At 37.0% G+C, this 26,311-nt stretch overlaps 1 protein-coding gene and 1 pseudogene across 3 annotated transcripts in view, besides 3 other annotated features; both read left to right on the top strand.

Moving 5' to 3' along the window:
- The window catches only part of CWF19L2 (CWF19 like cell cycle control factor 2), a 131,466-nt gene that overhangs the window by 44,288 nt on the left and 60,867 nt on the right, over positions 1-26,311 (top strand). For all 3 annotated transcript variants that reach the window (XR_007062452.1, NM_152434.3, XM_047426419.1), the window contains 2 exons: positions 20,643-20,759; positions 23,327-23,464. Coding sequence is in view for 2 of the 3 variants with exons in the window: in NM_152434.3 (NP_689647.2) it covers positions 20,643-20,759; positions 23,327-23,464 (255 nt within the window). In the remaining variant the exon portion in view is untranslated. The remainder of the gene's footprint in view (positions 1-20,642; positions 20,760-23,326; positions 23,465-26,311) is intronic.
- On the top strand, positions 8,910-10,200 carry SMARCE1P1 (SMARCE1 pseudogene 1; annotated as a pseudogene).
- Positions 15,504-16,703: an enhancer, noted in NCBI's record as "MED14-independent group 3 enhancer chr11:107267561-107268760 (GRCh37/hg19 assembly coordinates)". NCBI's record gives its function as "activates an origin of replication core promoter dependent on BRD2, BRD4, P300/CBP and CDK7 cofactors, and independent of MED14, by STARR-seq in HCT116 cells {active_cell/tissue: HCT116}" and the evidence as "EXISTENCE:reporter gene assay evidence [ECO:0000049][PMID:35650434]".
- Positions 15,504-16,864: a biological region, named in NCBI's record as "MED14-independent group 3 enhancer GRCh37_chr11:107267561-107268760".
- Positions 16,078-16,864: an enhancer, noted in NCBI's record as "NANOG-H3K27ac-H3K4me1 hESC enhancer chr11:107267400-107268186 (GRCh37/hg19 assembly coordinates)". NCBI's record gives its function as "activates a minimal SCP1, AML or CMV promoter by ChIP-STARR-seq in naive H9 embryonic stem cells {active_cell/tissue: H9 hESC(naive)}" and the evidence as "EXISTENCE:reporter gene assay evidence [ECO:0000049][PMID:30033119]".

The following is a 26,311-nucleotide window of genomic DNA, read 5'->3' as shown; positions in this document are numbered from 1 at the left end:
TTTATTAGTGCTAACTGTTAGTACCAGATCTTCCTGCAGCATAGCCTTCCACAGTATGGCCCTGTTTTCCAGTCCTACCTCCAAGACTTACACATAACCAGTGTCTCTTTCACATTTACCTATGCTATTTATTATTTGTGCCAGACATCACCCTTCTTCATTATGGCCTTTTTCTAATCCTGTCATACAGTTGCAACATTTTCCATTTTTGAAACCTCAAAGACTTTTCTTTTTAAGATTTTATTTTTTAGAGCAGTGCTACATTCACAGCAAAATTGAGAGGAAGGTACACACATTTCCCATACACTTCCTGCCCCTCCATAAGCACAGCCTCCCCCGTTATCAATAGCCCCTACCAGAGGAGTACATTTGTTACAATTGATGAACCTGCGTTGACACACTGTATCACCCAAAGTCTATAGTTTACATTAAGGTCCTCTCTTGGTATTGTACATTCTGTGGGTTTGAATAAATGTGTAATGACATGTATCCACCATTGTAGTATCATACAGAGTATTTTCACTGTACTAAATCCTCTGTGTTCCACCTGTTTATCCCTCCCTACCCCTTAACTCCTGGCAACCTCGGATCTTTTTAGTCTCCATAGTTTTGCCTTTTCCAGAATGTCATGTAATTGAAATCATACAGTATGTAGCATTTTCAGGTTGGCTTCTAATATGTATTTAAGATTCCTGTCTGTCTTTCCATGGTTTGATAGCTCATTTCTTTTTAGTGCTGAATAATATTTCATGGTCTGTAGGTGCCACATTTTACTTATTCATTCACCTATTGGAGGACATCTTGGTGCATCCAAGTTTTTGCAGTTATGAATAAAACTGCTATACACATCTGTGTGCAGTTTTTTGTGTGGACAGAAGTTTTCAACTCCTTTTGGTAGGCTGGGCGCACTGGCTCATGCCTGTAATCCCAGCACTTTGGGAGGCTGAGATGGGCAGATCGCTTGAGGTCAGGAGTTCGAGACTAGCCTGGCCAACATGGCAAAACCCTGTCTCTACTAAAAATACAAAAATTAGCTGGGCATGGTGGTGGGCACCTGTAATCCCAACTACTGGGGAGGCTGAGGCAGGAGAATTGCTTGAACCTGGGAGGCGGAGATTGCAGTGAGCTGAGATTGTGCCACTACACTCCAGCCTGGGCGGCAGTGTGGGACTCCATCTCAAAAAACAAAAAAACCCAAAAAACTCCTATGGGTAAATATCAAGGAATGCGGTTGCTGGATCGTGTGGTAAGAGTATGTTTGTCAGAAACCTCAAAGATTCTTAAAGTATTCTCTATGGCATGTATCTTTTCAAATTATATATATGTGTACACTTGTTACCACCTTCTCATTTATACCTGTTTCTTTCCTGGCACTTGTCACTTTTATTAAAGGTTCTAAAGCTGTGGCTGGACTTCAGGGGATTCCTGAATCAGGCACATTTTTTTCCCTTTGATTTGGTTGGTTGAAAAATTGTCTTTGTAAGAAAAATTTCTTTATATCAAATGCTGTTCATTTCAGACAACTGTAGTTACATGACTGTTCCACAGCCTGGTAGCACAAGCTTCATGGGAGCAGTGCTGAGGCCTCTAGAATGACTTCCATTCGATAGGACTAAGAGACCATTGTGCCATTTTGATCTTTTGACAATCCGTCTCTGCCTTTGTCCCTCTCTTTAAATATTAGGCCTAATGAAGAAAATAAAATAAGAATCATAAGTACTCTTCTATTTTACTTTGATTATCATATATTCTAGAATAGAAAAACCAGTGTTTTTGATAATCAGGTTTTTAAAATATCCGAAGGGGCATTAAATGTATGAGAGCATAGGAAGGAATACTTAATTTTAATTAGTATATTTATTAAATTTATTAGCTTAAATAACCTGCCCTTCCTTAAGCATTAAATGCTCTTGGTAAATTTAGCAAATCACTCAATTATTTTAAGAAATAATCAGACTAAAATTCTTTACCATTTTCATGGTTAGCTTAATTAAATTATAAAATTTTAAGCTGTTATTAGTTTTGTATAGCTTATTCACTTAAGGGTTTCAAATACGTTCAAAAGACAAACACACATTCTTAAAAAGTTATAATGAACAAGTCATTATAAATGAACGTGAGTGCCATTAAAAATGTGTTTCCTGTGTTAAAGTGAAATAAATTTTATATCAAAAAAGGTTGCAGAGCTATTACTATACTTTTACTTAAACACAATATAAAAGGTTAAGTTTGATTTATTTCTTAATCTCAGAGTTGCAAAGTTACTTAACCATCTAAGGGAAATTAACTGTTTTAGGCAGGTTAAGGTCCTTCCATAGCAGGAGAGATCTTTATAGAATTAACAGAATAATGGGTCAGAAATTTGAGACTACTGTATGGGACCCTAACCAATAAGAATATACCTTGCTGTTTTATGATAGTGTGTGTGTGTGTGTGTGTGTGTGTGTGCACGCACGCGCGCACACACACACCACACTCTTATAAAAGCATAGACCTAAGCCTGAGATTTTTGTGTTACTTCTTGTAGTCAAGCTTTGCTGACCCTACCAAATAAATTGACCATTTTCTTCTCATTTTTTGACTAAGGTTTGCTATGTCCCACCAGATTTTATTTCATACACCTCCTAAAGTGAAGTGCTTTTTCCATTATTCTGTGCAGTTGTTTAATGTAAAGTCAGTTTTCAAAGTATCTTAGGCAAGCAAAAGGAGCCACATAGAGAAACCTTGCTTGAAATGTTAGAGCTGGTTTGCGGCTTGGAACAGAAGGAAAACATTTGAAGCAGGTATTCTGTTAAATAACATTTCTCCTACGGTTTTGAGGATATGACTGAATAATTGACAGGCTATATCTCATCCCTTGTGCACATGACTCTGATATTACTGATTGTTTTTTAAATTTCTAGCTCCTCCTATCTTTGAGCAGTGGACTTCAGTACTCAGTAGATTAGTATTCGAAGTATCATACGAAGTGTTATTTCTGCTTGTTAGTCCCTTTTGGGAACTGTATAGCCCTTTGAAACTTCAAATAGAAAGCTTTTTTTTCCCCTAAGGATTCTTTGACCAGAAAGGCATATTTTCATCTTCTCTGCAGAGAAGGTTCAAGCACACTTGCACATCTGGTTCAAGCTTTACTAAGTATATATATGTATAAAACAAATCTTTGCCAAAAATTCTGAAAGAATTCTCTACTGCAACTAAAGTAATTTATTCCATCAGATCCAGGGCCTTGATTACCTTTCAAAGTGGTTTTTTTTTAGAAATCAGAGTGGAATACAAAGTTGTTTACTACTATGGAGATTTGATGACGTTCTAGAGGAAAATCATGGAATACTTCTGATGGAAATTTTGCTCTTTGAGAGAAAAGAAAACCCCATGCATAGAACGCTTGAACAGCGAAGAATTCTTTCATTGCTTAGCTCGTTTGTTGGAAGTATTAAGTTACAGGAATAAGGTAAATCTCTTCATTCACATATCTATGAATACCATTTTGGCTTTAGTGAAAAACCATCAGCACTATTAATTATTAGTTTCCTTATCCCTCTTCTTTAGAGGGTGAACTATTTAGTATTTAGGACAAGGGTTATTCTTTCAGTTCATATCTAGTACATAGAGTAATACTTGACATCTTGTAGATGACCAAGACATACTGAAATACTTGTTTTATGAATGTCTTTAATTTATTTTATTCTCTGTAGTATTTTATTGTAAATCTTAAAAATGATCCATGATCTTTCACATCATCTAGTCTGGCCATCACACAAGTACAGCTTCTTTATTTTAACATTAAGCCCACCACATAGCTTCTCCATCTAACTTGTGCTTGAACACTGAGTGATGAGGTCTCACTGAGTTTTGGATATTGCTAGTTTTATATCAGGAAAAATCCAATCCTAATTCTTTAATATGTTAGTCCTAATCTGCCCTTCCATAACTTGTGCCTGTTAATAATCCTTCAATGGAGTCACATTATGTATACATTTAATCTAAAGGAATTTAGCTTTGTACTTTATAAGAAAAGATAACGCAGGAAATTAAGCTCAACATTTGTAACAAAGAATGAAATAATGTTTGCCTAATGGTGTAGTAGCTTTAAAGTTTTGTCTACACTGCTGATAAAGAGGAGAAATGCATTTTGGTCCCTTTGCATGTACGTAGAGGGGGTTTATGGACATTCTCTTTAAAGAAATTGAGGAATTAACTAAGGGCCATAGAGAAACATTAATAAATAAACAGATACATTCATCATTTTGTATATAAATCAGGTACTTGACTAGTTATTTGAAGTATTTCCAGTAGTAGTTTGACCATATTCAATTACTGCTTTAACACTGTCTTTTGGATCTGATTCTTGGGTGCATCGTTCACTGTGTTCACAAGTTCACTTGTCATTGGTGTGATTCCCAGAATATGTGAACTGTTAGACTGTGTCTTTTTTTTTTTTTAATGTTTTAGCATCCCAATCCCTGCAGTTGATCCCCTAAGCACAGTACAACAGAAAAAAAGTTACAAGACTATAAAAAACTTGCTTGTGGTTTACTTTTAATATTTAAACAGTGAGGTTTGACCTTTACTCAATGAATACTTTGCAGTTCCTTCTTTGTAGAAGGCCTTTGCACTCTCAATTTTCTAGGTCAAATATTTTAAATCTAAAGTAAACATTATTGTAGCTTTGCATTTATTCTGTTTACCTTGCCATGTTACTGTAGGCACACTTTTCCTGAGGTATGGTCTTGCTTGACACAGAGTAGGTATGCAAAAATATTATTTCCTTTTAGTCATTTAGCTAGTTTTTTCCCCAGCCAAGTAAAAAAGGTCAATGGATGTACCTATTTTCTATACAGTTCAGCTTGTATTTTTTAACCCTCCTTAAAGTATCTGTCATTTCTGTCCTGTGCAGTTAGAAATACCATCTTAGGCATTACTAGAGGGCTTATTTCTTGAAATAGAGTATTACTATAGGAGCAAATATTTTAAGAAAAAATAAATTAAAGAAAATGGTGTATAAATACAAACTAGTATTAGCATGCAGAATCTGTCTGTTCTCTAGTCTCATACCTCACATAAAATTCATCGTGAAATGGTGACAATTTTACCTGCTAAATATTTCTTAACCCTCCTCTTTGTTTTTTATATCTACCACACTAAGATGACCATCATCTCTTGTCTTGACCTCCTAAGTAGCTATTTTCCCTCCTGCCTCAGTGCCTTTACAGTCTTTCTTTGCCTAGAGTATTTTTCATGTAGTTACCTTCTGTATATCCTTGAGATCTTAATTCAGACATCATATACTCCTTATAAAAGCTTTCTTTCAGGAAAGAGAACATACAAATAAGATTAATTATATAAATATATAATTACAGTCCTTTGACGGTCCTTCAAAGGAAAAGTATAGAAATATGGAGGTATTGAACAGGGCCTAGTGCAATCTGGGCATCCAGAGAATGTTCTGAGGCTATAGCCATTATTTTGGGATCCTGTTACCATTTTGTAACTTTGCCAAAGGAAAAGCTATTCTATTTATGACTACTATCTGTAAGCCTTATTTGTTTACCAGAAAAATAATCTTTAGCATGGTATTATCCTAGCTGGGAGTGTTGACCTGTAGGCTTCAGTCATGGAATAGGAAACACCCACTCATATGACTATAGGATGTATTTAATTCTCAATGCTTTCTGGGGTAGTTAAAAAATTTTTTTTATTGTGTTATGAACAGTATTTTCTCAGGTCTAATTTGGAGAAATTGTAGAGTAGTTGTTTTGGATAGTTATGATTATATATTTATTAATGATCTAATTTTGGGATGAAGAATTATGTCATAGACTATCTCAAACTTTGAACAGGGCTCTGTAACAGATACTGAAGCCACAACTAATTGATTTCCTTAGAGAGGGACCCAGCAGCAGCCTCTCTCCTTCCTCAGTTTGCTTCTATTCCCTCAAATGCTCATTATTTTTTTCTCACTAACTCTACTATTAGCATTTAATTCCCTTTTCTGTTGTTAAATTTAAGGGAAAAATGAAATATTACTGCATATGAAAAATACTGAGTCCTTATACTGTTCAGTAGCATTTGAGACTTAGGTTTTGTCTTGGACGGATGAATTCATATATGTTCTGTTTCCAGAATTTTTTTTTTTTGGTAGGGGGAAGGGTTAGATGGAGGGACGATGTCACATAATTATATATTTGCAGTTTAAAGGGAAAACATTTTAAGTGGAAAAAAAACAAACCCAAGGTAAGTTTTATCCTTGTACATGTTTTAAAATTAACCATATTGTAGACTGCATAACAGATTGTTGAAGATAGAAATCAAATTTAATGTGCTTTATAAAAACTGAAAATACAGTTTTCAATTTCATAGTGCATAAATATGCAGGTACCAAGAGGTTCTGACTAGAATAATTATAGTAGACAGTTGTTAATGAAGATTGATGAGGAAGAGAAAAAATTAGTTGAGTGAAACTCCAGAATACTGAAAAAAAGGAAAGAAAAGAAAAACACTTGCTATATCACAGTGAATCATAGAAAAATCTTATAATATTTATTATGGTCTTGTCTACTCAAAAATAGTAAATAATCTGTGTGTCATTCTTTAACAGAAAGTTAAGTTATAATTAATATAGCTATTTATTAATAATTAGTAATAATGTCTGTGGCATTAGCCAATAGTAACACAGAAGAGATAAGAGAGAACATAACAAAGAGTAGATACGATATACAAAGGATAGATTAAAAACTGAAATTACTAAAATAGAAAATAAAAAATAAATAGAAATGATTTTTTAAAAACCCAAGAGTTTATTCTTTGAAAAAAGTTAATAGCCTCTAAGAAGGCCAATCTAAAAAAAAAAAAAGGAAAACACAATAGTATATTATAAAAGTGGGACAGTATGGACAGAATTGAGAATTTAAAAACATTTTTAAAAGGGCTGCATTGCGCCTATATGATGCCTTCATGGAGTTAGAAAAAGATGTCTCCTTTGGGCAGATGCAGTCCTGTGAATGCTTTTGTACAAATTAAATAGTAGCCTTGGGCTAGGACATACATCTCAGTTATCAGAGTGTAGCTTGGTGTTCAGTCCACCCACTGCCTTGGCCAGGTACTTGTGTGTAGGGAACAACTTGTGGACATAATTAGAGATAAAGTAGAAATTATTCAAAAGCCATGAAAATACTAAGAATAGTAAAAAGTGATTATGGAAATTTTAAAAGATAAAAGTTGAAACATGCTTTATGGCATTCAGTGATAACAAACTTGCAGGCTACCATCATGAACTCTGGAAGTTTGTAGACCACTGATAGGAAAATCTGATTTAGTAGGAGAGTTTTGCTTTATTTCCCAATGCTAGAAAAGGCTTTCAAACATTTACACTTTTTAATAGTAGCTTTGAATCAAAGCAGTGTGTGCTTTTTCCTTTTCTTTTTAATCAGCGTATTACATACAAGTAGTGCTAGGCCTGCTATACCAAATAATAACAATGTCGTGAGCTTTTTCCAGACTTTCTTCCAATCCTGGTGGAAGCCACTTTGGTTCTTAGTTGTTTCCTTTGCTTTACTTCTATATTTTTTAATTAAGTTATCTCTTGATCCAGTAAATAGATACTGTTAGGCCAAATAGTATAATTGCCTTTCTTTTATGTAAATAAATAAAATTTCTTAATTTGCATTATCTTCTTCTTCTTCTTCTTTTTTTTTTTTTGGCTTGCTTCATATTCTTTGCTAGTTTTTCTCTTACTTCCAACATCTTGTTAAAATATATCCCAATTTAGTCAGCAAGGAAGGTCTGATTAAATTCCTTTGTACTGCAGTCTATGAACTGCCTCTTAGTAGAAAGCTGTGGCCATCCTAGGGCTCATCTCATTTCTTTCCCTTCTTTTAGGGATTATACTCTTCTCGAGGTCAATGTCTAAAAGTGGTTGTTTCATGTATTTGTCCTGTTGTCTAGTTTTTTTAAACAGCAGCAGGTTATACTGTTTTTTTTGTTAGTTCATCATGGCCTGAAATGGAAGTCAAGCATAGATATTTTAACAAAATAAGAGTACCAGGTCCTGTTCTCTTACCCTAATTGTTACCAACATGGATCTTGTGTAATACTATTAAGCAACTGCAAGTTTTAATCTTGCTTGTTATCAGGTAGTAGGAAAAATCAATAAAGTGATTTTGAATTAGTTTTATTAGCTAAATAATAGTATAGAACCAAGATTGGCAGACTTTTCTGTAGAGACCAAATAGTAAATATTTTAGATTTTGTGTGCTGTACAATCTGTGCCACAACTATTCAACTGTTGTTGTATCATGAAGGCAGCCATAGATAACACATAAATGAATGAGCATGGTTGTGTTCCAATAAAACCTTATTTATGGTCACGAAAATTAGAATTGCGTAGAATTTTAATCTGTCATGAAATACTATTGTTTTGATTTCCCCCAGCCATTTAACAATATAAAGACCATCCTCAGCTTATGGGATGACTAAAAACAAGCACAAGACTGGAGTTGGCCTGTGGCCCATAGGTTGTTGACACTGATACAGATTCTTAAGCCTCATATTCTGTATTAATGTGATGGCAAATTGGGAACTTGCTCATTGTTTCTGAGCTCCTCAATATTTCTGTCTTGGTTACTCAAAGTGGCAAAACAGTGTGATTTGTATTGGCAGGCCTAAGGAACAGAAAGTAGAGAAGTGAGTAGAAGAGGAAAGTAGAGGGGAAAGTGGGTTAGCTTTGGGTGTATAATGAACCTGTCTGAGGCACCAGCTTGTTCATTTCATTTATCAAGCATTTATTGAGTACCCACTATTTGACACTGTGCTAGGTCCTATCAATACAAAACAGTATACAGCTTGGTCTTTGGTCTGGAAAGGTGGGGAAGACAGTTAAGTTTTAAGTATCTGTTGGGGTAAGCGTGGGACAAAGGGAAGCGAAGCCAGAGCTGCAGGTGCTTTTTCTGCCTGTGGAAAGACCATCTTATGCCCCACCTCCCACCCCAGCTCCTGCAACACAAATGCCCAGCACTCCAAGGTTTGTGGGATACAGTCCATACAGTCATCTCGCCTACAACAACTAAGGGCTGGGAGGGAACCCGGGTGCCAACAGCCAGTTCATGGCATCCTCTGGTACTATAATTCCAAAACCCCCAAAGCCACCAGATAAGCTGCTGATGCCCTACATGAGGTACAGCTGAAAGGTCTGGGACCAAGTAAAGGCTTCCAACCCTGACCTAAAGTTGTGGGAGACTGGCAAGATTATTGGTGGCATGTGGCGAGATCTCACTGATGAAGAAAAACAAGAATATTTAAATGGATACGAAGCAGAAAGAGTACAATGAATTTATGAAGGTCTATCATAATTCCCCCACATACCTTGCTTACGTAAATGCAAAAAATCGTGCAGAAGCTGCTTTAGAGGAAGAAAGTCGACAGAGACAGTCTCACATGGAGAAAGGAGAACCATATATGAGCATTCAGCTCTGCTGAAGATCCAGATGATTATGATGATGGGTTTTTAGTGAAACCATCACCTCTTCAGTGAAATCCTTAGTGAGAGTGTGGTGCCAGACGTTCGGTCAGTTGTCGCAACAGCTAGAATGCAGGTCCTTAAACGACAGGTCCAGTCCTTAATGGTTCCTCAGTGAAAACTAGAAGCTGAACTTCTTCAAATACAGGAGGAGAAGAGGAAATTCCTAGAAAGCACAGATTCACTTAACAATGAACTTAAAAGGTTGTGCGGTCTGACAGTAGAAGTGGATATGGAGAAAGTTGCAGCTGAGATTGCACAGGCAGAGGAACAGACCGGCAAAAAGCAGGAGGAAAGGGAGAAGGAGGCGGCAGAGCAAGCCGAGTGCAGTCAGGGCAGCATCATTCCTGAGGAAGAACAAGCACCAAACAAAGGTGAGGAGAAGAAAGACGAGGAGAACATTCCAATGGAGACAGAGAAGACACACCTTGAAGAAACGACAGAGAGTCAACAGAATGGTGAAGAAGGCACGTCTACTACTGAGGACAAGGAGAATGGGCAGGAGGGGGTTGACAGTATGGCAGAGGAAGGAACCAGTGATAGTAACACTGGCTCAGAGAGCAACAGCACAACAGTGGAAGAGCCACCGACAGATCCCCTACCAGAAGATGAGAAAAAAGAATAAGTGTTGCCATGTTTTATGTGTTCTAAATAGTTTTTTAAATGAAAAAAAGTTTTTTGGTTTTTTAAAAAAATACCTGTTAGGGTAAATGAAAATTTAGAATGACTGGACTCTGAAGTGTCTTTTGCAGATAAATACAGTTTTTTTTAATTTTAATTTTTTTTTATACCAGTGGTATTTGGTTACATGAGTAAGTTCTTTAGTGATGATTTGTGAGATTTTGTGCACCCATCACTCAAGCAGTATACACTGGACCATATTTGTAGTCTTTTATCCCTCACCCCCTTCACACTCTTTCCCTAAAGTCCCCAAAGTGCATTGTATCATTCTTATCCCTTTGCATCCTCTCACAGCTTAGCTCCTACATATCAGTGAAAATATATGATGTTTGGTTTTCCATTCCTGAGTTACATCACTTAGAATAATAGTCTCCAGTCTCATCCAGGTCATCACAAATGCTATAAATTCATTCCTTTTTATGGCTGCATAGTATTCCATTATATATATATATATATATATATATATATACACACCACAGTTTGTTTATCCACTCGTTGATTGATGGGCATTTGGGTTGGTTCTCTGATTTTGCAGTTGTGAATTGTGCTGCAATAAACATGCGTGTACAAGTATCTTTTTCAAATAATGACTTCTTTTCCTTTGGATAGATACCCAGTAGTGGGATTGCTGGATCAAATGGCAGTTCTACTTTTAGTTCTTTAAGGAATCTCCACACTGTTTTCCATAGTGGCTGTACTAGTTTACATTCCCACTAGCAGTGTAGAAGTGTTCCTTGTTCACCGCATCCACGCTGACATCTACTGTTTTTCGATTTTTTGATTATGCTCATTCTTTCAGGAGTAAAGTGGTATTGCATTGTGGATTTGATTTGTGTTCCCCTGATCATTAGTGATGTTGAGCATTTTTTCATATGTTTGTTGGCCATTTGTATATCTCCTTTTGAGAATTGTCTATTCATATCCTTAGCCCACTTTTTGATGAGTTTTTTTTTTTTTCTTACTGATTTGTTTGAGTTCGTTGTAGATTCTGGATATTAGTCCTCTGTCAGGTGTATAGGTTGTGAAGATTTTCTCCCACTCTGTGGATTGTCTGTTTACTTTGCTGACTGTTCCTTTTGCTGTGCAAAAGCTCTTTAGTTTAATAGGTCCCAGCTATTTTTCTTTGTTTTTATTGCATTTACTTTTGGGTTCTTGGTCATGAAATGCTTTCCTAAGCCAATGTCTAGAAGGGTTTTTCCAGTGTTATCTTCTAGAATTTTTATAGTTTCAGGTCTTAGGTTTAAGTCCTTAATCTATCTTGAGTTGATTTTTGTATAAAGTGAGAGATGAGCATCCAGTTTCATTCTCCTACATGTGGCTAGCCAGCTATCCCAGCACCATTTGTTGAAAAGGGCGTCCTTTCCCCACTTTATGTTTTTGTTTGATTTGTCGAAGGTCAGTTGGCTTTAAGTATTTGGGTTTATTTCTGGGTTCTCTATTCTGTTACATTGGTCCATATGCCTATTTTTATACCAGTACCATGCTGTTTTGGTGACTATGGCCTTATAGTATAGTTTGAAATCAGGTAGTGTGATGCTTCCAGATTTGTTCTTTTTCTTAGCCTTGCTTTGGCTATGTGGGCCATTTTTTAGTTTCTATGAATTTTAGAATTGTTTTTTTCTAATTCTGTGAAGAGTGATGGTGGTATTCTGATGGGGATTGTGTTGAATTTGTAGATTGCTTTTGGCAGTATGGTCATTTTCACAATATTGATTCTACTCACCCATGAGCAAGGGATGTGATTCTATTTGTTTGTGTCGTCTGTGATTTCTTTCAGCAGTGTTTTGTAGTTTTCCTTGTAGAGGCCTTTTGACTCTTTTGTTAGGTATATTCCTAAGTATTTTATTTTTATTTTTATTTTTATTTTTGCAGCTATTGTAACAGGGGTTGAGTTCTTGATTTGATTCTCTGCTTGTTCGCTGTTGGTGTGTAGAAGAGCTACTGATTTGTGGTACATTAATCTTGTATCCAGAAACTTTGCTGCATTCTTTTATCAGTTCTAGAAGCTTTCTGGAGGAGTCCTTAGGGTTTTCAAGGTAAACAATCATATCGTCAGCAAACAGTGACAGTTTGACTTCCTCTTTACCAATTTGGATGCCCTTTGTTTCTTTCTCTTGTCTGATTGCTCTGGCTAGGGCTTCCAGTACTGTGTTGAAGAGGAGTGGTGAGAGTGAGCATCCTTGTCTTGCTCCAGTTCTCAGAGAGAATGCTTTCAACTTTTCACCATTCAGTATTATGTTGGCTGTGGGTTTGTCATAGATGGCCTTTATTACATTAAGGTATGTCCCTTGTATGTTGATTTTGCTGAGAGTTTTAATAATATAGGGATGCTGGATTTTGTCAAATGCTTTTTCTGCATCTATTGAGATGATCATGTGATTTTTGTTTTTAATTCTCTTTATGTGGTGTATCACATTTATTGACTTGTGTATGTTAAACCATCCCTACATCCCTGGTATAAAACCCACTTGATCATGGTGGATTATCTTTTTGATATGTCATTGGATTCGGTTAGCTAGTATTTTGTTAAGGATTTTAACATCTGTGTTCATCAAGGATATCAGTCTGTAGTTTTCTTTTTTGGCTATGTCCTTTCCTGGTTTTGGTATTAGGGTGATGCTGGCTTCACAGAATGAATTAGGGAGGGTTCCTTCTTTCTCTATCTTGTGAAATAGTGTCAAAAGGATTGGTACCAATTCTTCTTTGAATGTCTGGTAGAATTCATCTGTGAATCCTTCTGGTCCTGGACTTTTTTTTGTTGTTAATTTTTAAATTACCATTTCAGTCTCACTGCTTGTTATTGGTCTGTTCAGGGTGTCTAATTCTTCCTGATTTAAGCTAGGAGGGTTGTATTCTTCCAGGAATTTATCCATCTCTTCTAGGTTTTCTAGTTTATGTACATAAAAGTGTTCATAGTAGCTTTGAATGATCTTTTGTATTTCAGTGGTGTTAATTGTAATATCTCTTTTTTTGTTTCTTAGTAAGGTTATTTGGATTTTCTCTCTTCTTGGTTAATATTGCTAATAGTGTATCAATTTTATTTATCTTTTTGAAGAACCAGCTTTTTATTTCATTTATCTTTTGTGGTTGGTTTGTTTTTTTCAATTTCATTTAGTTCTGCTCTGATCTTGGTTATTTCATTTTTTCTGCTGGGTTTGGGTTTGGTTTGTTCTTTTTTCTCTGGTTCCTTGAGGTGTGACCTTAGAATGTCAGTTTGTGCACTTTCAGACTTTTGATATAGGCGTTTAGGGCTATGAACTTTTCTCTTAGCACTGCCTTTGCTGTATCCCAGAGGTTTTGATAGGTTGTGTCATTACCGTCTTTCAGTTCAAAGAATTTTTTAAATTTCTATCTTGATTTTGTTTTTGACCCAGTGCTCATTCAGGAGCAGGTTATTTAATTTCCCTATATTTGGATCGTTTTGAAGGTTCCTTTTGGAGTTAATTTCCAGTTTTATTCCACTGTGGTCTGAAAGAGTGCTTGATATAGTTTCAATTTTCTTAAATTTATCTAGGCTCATTTTATGGCCTATCAAATGGTCTATCTTGGAGAAAGTTCCATGTGCTGTTGAATAGAATGTGTATGCTGCAGTTGCTGGATGAAATGTCCTGTATATATCTGTTAAATCCATTTGTTCCAAGGTATAGTTTAAATTCGTTGTTTCTTTGTTGACTTTCTGTCTTGATGACCTATCTAGGGCTATCAGTGGAGTATTGAAGTCCCCCACTTTTACTTTTTTGCTGTCTATCTAATTTCTTAGGTCTATTGTTTTATAAATTTGGGAGCACCAGTGTTAGGCACATATATGTTTAGGATTGTGATATTTTCCTGTTGGACAAGGCCTTTTACCATTATATACTGTCCCTCTTTGTCTCTTTTAACTGCCGTTGCTTTAAAGTTTGTTTTGTCTGATATAAGAATAGCTACTCCTCCTCACTTTTGGTGTCCATTTGTGTGAAATGCCTTTTTCCATCCCTTTATTTTAAGTTTATGTAAGTCCTTATGTGTTAGGTGAGTTTCCTGAAGGTGGCACATAGTTGGTTGGTGAGTTCTTATCCATTCTGTGATTCCGTATCTTTTAAGTGGAGCATTTAGGCCATTTACATTCATTCGATGTTAGCATTGAAAGGTGAGGTACCGTTACTTTTCTTATGCTCTTTGTTGCCTGTGTACTTTTGTTTTTGTTTTTGCCTTTTAACTTGTATTTTTTGTTTTATAGGTCCTGTGTAATTTATGCTTTAAAGAGGTTCTGTTTTGGTGTAAAAGATTTGTTTCAAGATTTAGAGCTCCTTTTAGCAAAAGGAACCTTCAAAACCATGCAAAAGGTGGTGGTTTGGTAATGGCGAATTCTCTCAGTCAGTGTTTGTGTGTCTGAAAACAACTGTGTCTTTCCTTCATATATCATGCTTAGTTTTGCTGGATACAAAATTCTTGGCTGATAAATGTTTTGTTTGAGGAGGCTGAAGATAGGTCCCCAATCCCTTCTAGCTTATAGGGTTTCCGCTGAGAAATCTGCTGTTGATCTGATGGGTTTTCCTTTATAGGTTACCTGGTGCTTCTGTCTCACAGCTCTTAAGATTCTTTCCTTCATCTTAACTTGGGATAACCTGATGACAGTGTGCCTAGGCAAAGATGTTTTTGTGATGAATTTCCCAGGTATTCTTTGTGCTTCTTGTATTTGGCTGTCTACGTCTCTCACAAGGCTGGGAAAGTTTTCCTTGATTATTCCACCAAATATGTTTTCCGGGCTTTTAGAATTCTCTTCTTCCTCAGGTATACCGATTATTCTTAGGTTTGGTTGATTAACATAATCCCAGACTTCTTGGAGCCTTTGTTCATATTTTCTTAGTTTTTTGTCTTTGTCTTAGTTGGATTGGGTTAATTTGAAGACCTTGTCTTCAAGCTCTGGATTTCTTTTTTCTACTTGTTCAATTTTGTTGTTGAGACTTTCCACAGCATTTTGCATTTCTAAAAGTGTGTCCAAAGTTTCCTGAATTTTTAATTGTGTTTTCTTTAAGCTATCTATTTCCTTGAATATTTTTTCCTTCACGTCTTGTATCATGTTTCAGATTTTCTTGCATTGGGCTTTGCCTTTCTCTGGTCCCTCCCTGATTAGCTTAATAACTAATTTCCTGAATTCTTTTTCAGGTTAGAAATCAGGGATTTCTTCTTGGTTTGGATCCATTGCTGGCGAACTAGTGTGATTTTTGGGAGGCGTTGAAGAGCCTTGTTTTGTCATATTACCAGGGTTGGTTTTCTGGTTCCTTCTCATTTGGGTAGGCTGTGTCAAAGGGAAGGTCTAGGGCTGAAGGCTATTTGAAGGCTATTGTTTAGATTCTTTTGTCCCATGGGGTATTCCCTTGATGTAATAATCTCCGCCTTTTCCTATGGATGTGGCTTCCTGTGAACCCGACTGCAGTGTTTGTTGTCTGTCTTCTGGGTCTAGCCACCCAGCAAGTTTACCTGGCTATGGGCTGGTACGGGGGGTTTTCACAGAGTCCTGTGATGTGAACTGTCTATGGGTCTCTCAGCTATGGATACCAGCTGCTTGTTCTGGTGGATGTGACAGAGGGTGCAGTGAACTCCGTGAGGGTTCTTAGCTTTGGTGGTTTAATTCTCCATTTTTGTGCTGGTTGGCCTCCTGCCAGGAGGTGGCACTTTCCAGAGAGCATCAGCTGTAGTAGGGTGGAGAGAGACTGGTGGTGGGTGAGGCCCTAGAACTCCCAAGGTTGTATGCCCTTTGTCTTCCACTACCAGAGTGGATTGGGAAGGATCATCAGGTGGGGGCGGGGCTAGGCCTGCCTGAGCTCAGACTCTCCGTGGGCGCGTCTTGCTGGGGCTGCTGTGGGGGATGGGATGAGATTCCCAGGTCACTAGAGTTGTGTTACCTATTATTAGGATTATGGCTGCCTCTGCTGAGTCATGCAGGTTGTCAGGGAAGTGGGGGAAAGCTGGCAGTCACAGGCCTCACCCAGCTCCCATGCAAACTGAAGGGCCAGTCTCACTCTCACTGTGCCCCCACCAACAGCGTGGAGTCTGTTTCCAGGCTGAGGGCAAGGTGGGCTTGAAAACATACCTGAGGATATCTGCCTTCCAGCTGCGAGAGAAAAGGGCTTTAGTTCTTACCCTGCCTGTGAAGTCTGTACGCAGGATTTGTGCCCTCCCTTGAGTTCTGGCCAGGAGGTTTCTCACCCTGTTCAAATTGTTACAAAGTTCCGCTAGATAATTCCTTTTCCCTGTGGAGTTTTACTCCCTGCTCCTCTGGCCACCCTCCTGTTGGATCCCTGTGGTGCCAGGCAGGAACGGGCTGTTTGGGGACCCAGCGAGATCCCAGGGCCTTTCTGCTCCTTCCTCTACCCCTGTATTTCACTTGGCCCCCTAACTTGACTCAACTCCAAGTAAAGTCGAAAACTTCTCCTGCAAACAGACCTTCAACTTCTCCAGTTGGGGGGTATGTTCGGGAGGAAGTGTGTTCCCACTTCCACAGTTGGGGGACTCACAGTATTTGGGGTGTCTCCTGGGTCCTGCAGGAGTAGCAGTCTGCTTCCTTCAGAGAGGGTCTGTGGGTCCTCTCGGGATTGCTGGTTTGTTCTTACAGTCAATCTGGAGCTAAAATCCACAATGCAAGCCCCTGCATGCTGCTCTGTCCAGAGCTACAATCTAGTCTTGCCTTGTGTCTGCCACGGTCTCTTGAATCCTCAATTTTTATTACTATAAAAATGATATGCACTTGTGGGAGAAATTTATTATCTCACAAATACTATAGATACCAACAGGGAAGGTTTATTCTGGTTATGTTAGCAAACTGATTTTGTAGCTTTATATAAAGTGTTTTGTTTTCTCCTTTCTTCCTTTAAAATAAGAATCCATGATTTTTGTCAGCCAGAAGGTTCTTTTATGGATTAATGAGTAAATGATCCCAGAGCATTTTGGGATTTGTTAATTAAAGTGTCCTTATAAAATGCTTTAACAAATTATCAGTTTTGATGTTTTTAAAATAAAAAGTCCTCCAGAGCAAACTGTAATTGTTGGGGATAATTTAAAAACCTGGAGCATTTGGCATTCTTATGAAAATGGAAAGAGTTTATAAATGCTTTTTAGTTATATCAAGAAGTGTTTCTGGTTTCTTTTGAGATAAATTACAAAATTACATGGATAATGAAAATGTTTTTGCATATTTTCTGTGTAGAGTGAACTTTTCATTTCTGTCTCGTATTTTAATGCCATGTAGGTGGTTAGATGCACTCTGTCTTGCGTACCCAAAATGGAGCAACTTGGGGTCTTACGTATTGGCAGTCCTAAGGAACAGAAAGTTGGCAAAGGGAGGAAAGAGCTCACTGAAGGGGAAAGTGGGTTAGTTTTGGGATACAATTAATCTGTCTGAGGTGCCAGCTTGTAATAACATTTATCAAGCATTTATTGAATTCCCATTATTGTTTGACACTGTGACAGGTCCTATAGGTACCAGTAGTGTATAGCTTAGTCTTTGTCCTGCAAAAAGAGATAAATATAGACAAATAGTTACTGAAAATATTACAGTCTAGTAACATACATGTGCCAAAAATTATTGGGAACAGAGCATTGGCTGTGACTAAATTCTCAATTTCCTAGTTGAGCAAGAAGGGATAATTGTTCCACGCAGAAGAAATAAAATTTACAGTACGTTTACAAAAATTACAAGGAACTAGAAAAATCTAGGGCCAGAATTTGAAGGCTTTGTATACTGTGTGAAAATGCTTTACCTTTATTTCACTATTTAGACTATGGTGTAGGATCAGGGTTGTTTATATATATTTTAAAATTTTACAGACCATGATGGATTAATAGTTTTATAAAATACAATAAAAAATAATCATAGAAAAATGAAATAAAGATAAATGAAATAAAGTCCCAAGTTTTTATTTAGGTTGAACCAACATAAAGTGATTCTTGTATTTGTCTGTTTTCATGCTGCTGATAAAGACATACCCGAAACTGGGCAATTTACAAAAGAAAGAGGTTTAATTGGACTTACAGTTCCACATGGCTGGGGAGGCCTCACAGTCATGGCTGAAGGCAAGGAGGAGCAAGTCACATCTTACGTGGATGGCAGCAGGGAAAGAGAGAGCTTGTGTGGAGAAATTCCCGTTTTTAAAACTGTCAGATCTCATGAGATCCATTCACTATCACGAGAACAGCACAGGAAAGACCTGCCCCCATGATTCAGTCATCTCCCACCGGGTCCCTCCTACAACACGTGGAAATTATGGGAGCTACAAGATGAGATTTGGGTGGGGACATGGAGGCAAACCATATCAGTTCTATACAATTGCTATAAAACACTCAGTTTCTATACTTACCTCATCATGGATTAGTAACAAATATTTAATGTCTAGTAATTATTGGACTTGGGATGGTCTGTGGGCCATACTTGCAGTGGTATTGATGTTCTGGTGATAAATGTTCCCTGCAGATTTTTAAGCAAAGAATAGCATGATTATATTTGTTTTTAACACGGTGAATTTTTTTTGCAATATGGGTGATGATTAGGTTTCAGGCTGAAGGGCTGGAAACCAAGGAACCCTGGAATCATCAGCATTTGAGGGGTAGCTGGAAATGAAGGAGAAAGTGAAGGTGACTTTGTTTATATTAATAATTCATGTGGGGAGTAGTTTCCCCACTAGGCCATAAGCTTATACAAGGCAGGTGTTAGATTTCTTTTAACTCCTAAGATTAAATAGATATTTCAGAAATATTTGATGAATGAATGAATAATGAATGAATGTGTCAGAGAGGTAAAGGCAGAACCAGGAGAGAGTAGAGTGTTTAAAACTGAAATAAGAAGAATTTCAGGCTAGAGAATGTAATAAACAGAACCAAATGCTTTCAAATCAGGGAAGATGACAATTTAATAATTATGTATTGGACTTAGTATTTTGAAAGTCCTTAGGGAGACCAGCTTTATCAGTGTGGTAAAGTTAGATGCCAGCTTATAATGTGTTGCCTATCTCTACTATCTGGTAAGGGAGTGAGTAGAAAGATCTTTTAAAAGATGGCACTTCATTAATGTTCGTTTATTTATTGAGGAAGAAAAGTAATGATAATCTTTTATATCAATTTAGTATTGTGTGTGAATGTAAGATCAATAATAGGTATATATTATTTTTCTTCCATTTCAGCAGGGGAACTAACATCTATTAAATGGAATTGGGATTGATTTTTTCTATAGTTGATTCCAATTGAGAAGAAAACTATAATGTGAATATTTTGCTTGGTCTTGTTTCAAATGGATTTTTAATGATTATTCCTTAATATTATTTTTGTTTTTAATTTTTAAAAAATAGATTCAGGGGTTGCATATGCAGGTTTTTTACAGGGATATATTGCATAATGGTGAGGTTTGGGCTTCTACCCATCACCTGAATAATAAAAATTGTTCCCAATAGGTAATTTTTTCAGCCATTACTCCCTTTCCATCCTCCCTGCTTTTGGAGACTACAGTGTCTATTATTTCCCTCTTTATGTCCATGTGTACCCATTGTTTAGTTCCCACTGTTAAGTGAGAACATGCAGTATTTGATTTCCTGAGTTATTTCACTTAGGATAATTGCCTCTAGCTCCATCCATGCTGCTGTGAAAGACATTTCTGTTTTTTGTGTGATTGTGTAGTATTCCATGGCATGTATACACCACATTTTCTCTTTTCAATCATCCATTAGTGGACACTTCAGTTGATTCCATGACTTGGCAATTGTGTGAATAGTGCTGGGATAAACATACAAGTGCAGGTGTCTTTTTGATATAACAATTTCTTTTCCTTTGTCATTCTCTAATATTCTTTAATGATTATTAGAATCCTTCCAATAACATTCCATTTCCATTAGAGAATAAAGTTTACTCTTATTCTGTACTGTGCCAGGTTTATATTTGGCCAAAAGTTTGTAAGAAAAATATGGCTTGAAAGTGTGTGGGATATAATTCCTTCTGAAGAGTCAGAAAACTGAAAAGCATTTGAAGGCTATTAATAGAAAGAATAGAAGTTACGGGTAGTATCATTATATTTGCTAATTTAGCAAGTTTGTCTTTAGTTGTTTTATTTCTTATAATCAGATTTTAATAGGATCTTTAAATTTAAAAAACATTACATCTACTGCATAAGTGATGGGCACATGGACTATTGATACTTCGTCATCTTTTAATATTGTCTAGATGAAAATTTTATTTGAAATTTTCTTCTCTTGATTGCTTTTTTAAAAATACTAAAATAAACATTGGGTATTTTTTACCCTTTCCCCAAAAGATTATGTTCATTTTATAGTATAGAGAGTAATGAAAATCCAGGAGATTTAAGGCAATCCACAACGTTATGTGGAAACGTTAATCATTTTAATGCTTTTTTTGTTATTAAATAAAAACATTCAACATTCTTCACAATAATTTCAATAGTTATCTCTAAATCTTTTTATAGAATGAAGACCAGCAAGAAGTAATCCTTGTCAGAACAGATCAGTCTGGAAGAGTATGGCCTGTGAACACACCCGGAAAATCTCTGGAATCACAAGGAGGAAGAAGAAAGAGACAGATGGTATGTTTAACATATGTCTTTGTTTATTAATTCAGAATTCCTTCTTCCCCTTGGGGCTTTCTTTGTATCAGATTATAAAATATTTTCTGAAATGTGGCTTTTGAATGCCAATATTGGAAGGTAGGAAATGATGTTGTTACTACTTTTATTCTTAGTTATATCTCTTTGCCTTTTACAGAATGGAAACTAATCCAACTATTTTTTCAAATAGTTGTTAACATTGAATGTTTAAGGCAATTTTAATTTTAGTGTACATTTCTTTGATGTTGTTTTCAGCTGCTTTTGGCATACTTGCTATAGCTCTTAGGGAAAACTTTGGTCTCTCAGAGCTGTTACTAGTGTTAGACAGCTAACTTGAGACCTGGTGATGGGGTATCCATACACAGTAATGGCTTAATTATGTAGGTGCCATGATCCTTTATAAAACTAATTTTCTTTTCCATTTTCCAACTCTAGTAATTAGTTTTTAGCACTACCTTGAGGCTCTTGAGCTGGCAAAAACAACATATTCAGCTTTCTCAAGTTAGTTTTTTTTATTTTAAATTTGGAAGATCAGACAAGTGATAATTGCATATACAAAAGAACTGTTCATTCAGAATATTTCTGTCAAATGTTTATTTTTTGCCTGTTGAGTGCCTATGTTGCTAGAGATTCTAATTAATTCATCCAACAAATAGAAGTGGGATGGATATGTCTTCTAATGTAATGGGAGGAATTTGGTGGTTGGAGAGGAGGTGCAGGAGGAGAATAGTAAAGGTCTGATTTATATGAAATGGTGGAACTGACTAGGGATCCATAAATGCATTGTCAGAAGGCATTGAGGGCCCTTTTTGAGTTGCATATTACTGAGCAATCTAGGTATAGGAGTAAAGAAGGTAGACGCTTTCATTCATGAGTAGAGTTTGCTCTTTGAGTATAATGAAAAGACAAGAGGGCCAGAAATTAAGTGTCTGGAGCCAGGGGGTGATTGGAGTCATGGGATATGAGGTTTAAGCTAGTAAAGAAAAGAATAATAATGTTGGAAAATGTAGTTGCACCCCTGTTCCAAAGATCTCAAAGAAGTTAAAGACAAGGTTTTATTTGGATAAGGGAATGTGAGAGCAGCATTGGAAAGATTTGATTTGAGAGGAAATAAACAGTATTTTTCTGTTGCACACCTGGGTATGGAACCAACTGATAGGAAAATCTGGGACTGAATTAGATGGAGACCAGAATATCAGCTTTGCTTTTGATAAAGCTGTTTACAGAACAAGGGTTTAATAATTAGAAGTTGGTCTCTTAGTTCAGGCTACTGTAACATAGACTGGATGGCTTAAACAATAGAAATTTATTTCTCACAGTTCTGGAGACTGAGAAGTCCAAGATTAGGACTTGGAATGGCAGCTTCATTGTCTGATGAGGGCACGCTTACGGGTTTGTAGATGATAGTCTTCTTGTATCCTCAAATGGCAGAGAAAAAAGAGAGAGAGAACAAATGCTCATGTCTTTTAATAGAGGTACTGTATTAGGGTTCCCTAGAGGGACAGAATTAAGAGGATAGATGTATATATGAAGGGGAGTTTATTAAGGAGTGTTGGCTCACACAATGACAAGGTAAAGTCCTACATAGGCCGTCTGCAAGCTGAGGAGCAAGGAAGCCAGTCCAAGTCCCAAAACCTCAAAAGTAGGGAAGCTGACAGTGCAGCCTTCGGTCTGTGGCTGAAGGCCCGAGAATCCCTGGCAAACCACTGGTGTAAGTCCAAGAATCCGAAAACTGAAGAACTTGGAGTCTGATGTTTGAGGGCAGGAAGCATCCAGCATGGGAGAAAGATGAAGGCCAGAAGACTCAGCAAGTCAAGTCATTTCAACATCTCTGACTCGCTGGCAGCTGATTAGATGGTTCCCACCCACACTGAGGGTGGGTCTGCCTTTCCCAGTCCACTAACTCAAATGTTAATCTCCTTTAGCAACACCCTCACAGACACACCCAGGAAGAATACTTTGCATCCTTCAGTCCAATCAAGTTGACACTCAGTATTAACCATCACAGGTTCTGATCCCATTTCTGAGTACTTCATGCTCATAGCCCAGTTACCTCCCAAAGACCTTGCATCTTAATACCTTCATACTGAGATTTCAACATGTGAATTTTGGGGCAACATAATCATTAAATTCATAGTAGTGGATTTGCTAATACTTCATCTCTGTTTTTGATATACTTACTCCATTTCTGGATGACTTCAGTCTTCCCACCACAGTGGTAAGGAATTTTAACTATAAGGAGAAGAAGAGCAGAAAAGAGAGAAGAAGGGGTAGAGCAGTTTTGCTCTTTCATCAAAGCTCAGAAAGCAGATCATATCATGCTTCCATCCCTGGGGAAGAGGAGAGTAAAGAGGTAGAAGTAGGGAGTGTAATTCTAATGGAAGTTTTTTCACATGGAAACTGGCAGACTAGGGATAAACTGGAAGGAAAGGTTGTGATTACATAGTGGGATTTTTACATTTAACATCAGATATTTATGTAATCCATCAAGAAATACTTCAGAGACTCATGTTTTCATTAAATTAATAATGTTCATTTTGTCATAGGTTTCAACCCATGAGGAAAGAGAAAGGGTCAGATACTTTCATGATGATGATAATCTAAGCCTAAATGATTTAGTCAAAAATGAAAAGATGGGAACAGCAGAAAATCAAAACAAGCTCTTTATGAGAATGGCATCTAAGGTAAGATATATTCCTAGGATACCTCTGAATTTTGAGAAGCTGATTATTCAGTGTAACAGTGATCTGCTTTTTGGAGAGATCTGGTTCTCTCTAATCTTGATTCATTTTATTAAATTAAATCCTTTGTAAGACTTATTAGAAACATGCATTTTGGAATTGATCTGGTTGAGAAACATACAGTTGAAATGTTGTTTGTTTTTAAATATAGACTGTGGTTTATTTCTTTAATGCATTCTGTGGAGATTTTAATTATACATTTCCTCTACCATTTAAGAGAAAATGTTAAGCCAGAGTTAATGATTGACAGTGCGCTGATAGTTAGGTTACCACTCCGTCTTGTCTTAACGTTCCTCCAGTTCTTCATAATTGTGCCATGAAGAGGTAGAAGAAAATATTTGCACTAATATATTATGGATTATGGAGAGGCATCTGGGAATAATCTTACATCTATTTATATGAAAATATATATTATTTTAACACGTCATTATGGGTAGGATGAATTTTTGTTTCAAATAGCATTCTTTGTTGCAGTTTCTTCCATTGAAGTCTCTTCCAAACACTACCATTAACATTTTTTATAAAAGAGACACTGGTATTTAAACTGTTCTGTAACAGGTTTTGGCAAACTGTGACCCCTATGGGAAAAATTCAGCCTACTGTCTATATTTGCAAATAAAGTTGTATTGAAGAACTGCTATACACATGCATTTACATATTATCTAAGGCTGCCTTCACTCTATAATGGCTGAATTGAGTAGTTGTGACAGAGAGTGGATAGTCCATAAAGCTGCAAATATTTTCTGTGTGGCTTTTTACAGAAAAAAATGGCCAACTTCCACCCTATAATAACAATGGTTACTTTTTGGTAGTGGGAGTTTGAACTGAGTCACTGAGATATAGGCAAGGGATGGGGAGACCTTTCACTGTATATCTTTTCAGACTTACAATCTTTTATTTTTTAACTTTTAATATTCACATAAGTACGTAAGTATGTTACCTGGTAAAAAAATTAAACTTAATGAAAACTAAGATAAAGTAACCAAGGTATCTGTATGTGTATGTTGTGTTGGGGAAGAGGGCAATAAAGTAAAATAGAGTTTAAATGGAAATGGCTTTTGTACCTATCAGCAAGAGTTTCATGAGATCTTATATTTAGCCCATTAAGATAATTTTACCTCTGTTTATTTTGGAAAAAATGCCAGAAATTTCCTAGGGTCTGGAATTTTAATGCAGAAAGAAGGAAGACATGTTTTTATTAGAGTTTCCTTTTCAGAAGTGGTACCTCTGTATATGAAGTCTGAATTAAATAGTTTTAGTAATCTTATAAACCGTTCAAGTTTATGAACCATAAACCATTCAAGTTAAAGAAAAATCCTTCTTAAAAATTGTAATAGTGCCGGGCGTGGTGGCTCAACCCTGTAATCCCAGCAATTTGGGGGGCCTAGGCAGGCAGATCATGAGGTCAGGAGTTCGAGACCAGCCTGGCCAACATAGTGAATCCCCGTCTCTACTAAAAATACAAAATTAGCCAGGCATGGTGGCACGCACTTGTAGTCCCATCTACTCGGGAGGTTGAGGCAGGAGAATCCCTGGAACCCGGGAGGTGGAGCTTGTGGTGACCTGAGATCGTGCCACTGCATTCCAGCCTGGACGACAGAGCAAGACTCCGTCTCAAAAAAAAAAAATTGTATAGCCATTTGTCAGTTCAACAGTTATTATTGAAGACTTAATTAGTGTCAGATACCATTTTAGTTGGGGGATACAGAGAAGCAATTAAGTCAAAGTTTGTGCCCTCAGGCGCTTATATTTCTAGTGGATGAGAAAGTGAACAAATATATAAACTATGTAACAATATATTATAAAATTGAAAATAGTTTTGTAGAAAATGAAGCAAAGTAGAAGGAGCTGCGATGATATTTTCAACAGAGTGTTGCTGAGGGAAAGTCTTTCCATATAGGTGATGTTTCATCAGACTGAAAAAAGTGAGTGAGAGGTCCTTGTGAATATCTGAGGGAAGATTATTTCAAGTAGAAGAAACAGCAAAGGATCTGAAGCAGAGACAAGCTTGAAGAACATCAAGAGACTGCAAAAAGACAAGTGTGACTGGTAGTAGAGGGAGGAAGAGAAAGAGAAGTTGAGATGAGATAGGAGACATAAGTCAGATTACGTAAGGCAGGGGGCCCATATCCCTGGGCCATGGATGGGTACTGGTCTGTGGCCTATTTGGAACTGGGCCGCACAGCAAGAGGTGAGCGGAGCGGGCCAGTCGGCATTATTGTCTGATCTCCACCTTCTGTCAGATCAGCGACAAGATTCTCATAGGAGCATGAACCCTATTGTGAATTAGACATGTGAGGGATCTAGGTTACACACCCCCTTACAAGAATCTAATTCCTGTTGATCTGAGGTGTAATAGTTTCATCCTGAAAGCACCCCCACCCCCACCACTGCCCTGCCACCCTGTCTGTGGAAAAATTGTCTTCCACAAAACTGGTCCTTGGTGCCAAAAAGGTTGGGGACTGCTGAGGTAGTGTCTTACAGGCCATGGATAACTTTCATATTTGTTTTAATGATGGGGAGCCATTTGAAGGTTTTTTTTGTTTTTTGTTTTGTTTTGTTTTGTTTTGTTTTTAGCAAGGCTGTGTCATGATTTGGTTTATATTTTGACAGAATTTTTCTGGCTGCTCTTTTGAGAAGGCAGTGTAGAGAGGCATTAGTGGAAGCAGGAGATCACTTAGAAGGAGAGTATTATATTAGTTCAGATAGAGCCATGGATGGATTACAGTGGTAAAACTGGTGAAAAGTGTCAGGATACAGGGCATTGCTGGTGCTGTATATTGAAATGGG

The sequence above is a fragment of the Homo sapiens genome, chromosome 11 (genome assembly GCF_000001405.40).
Source record: "Homo sapiens chromosome 11, GRCh38.p14 Primary Assembly".
NCBI lineage: Eukaryota > Metazoa > Chordata > Mammalia > Primates > Hominidae > Homo > Homo sapiens.
Note: the sequence above shows the minus strand (reverse complement) of the source record. Positions and strands in the feature narration are given on the sequence as shown.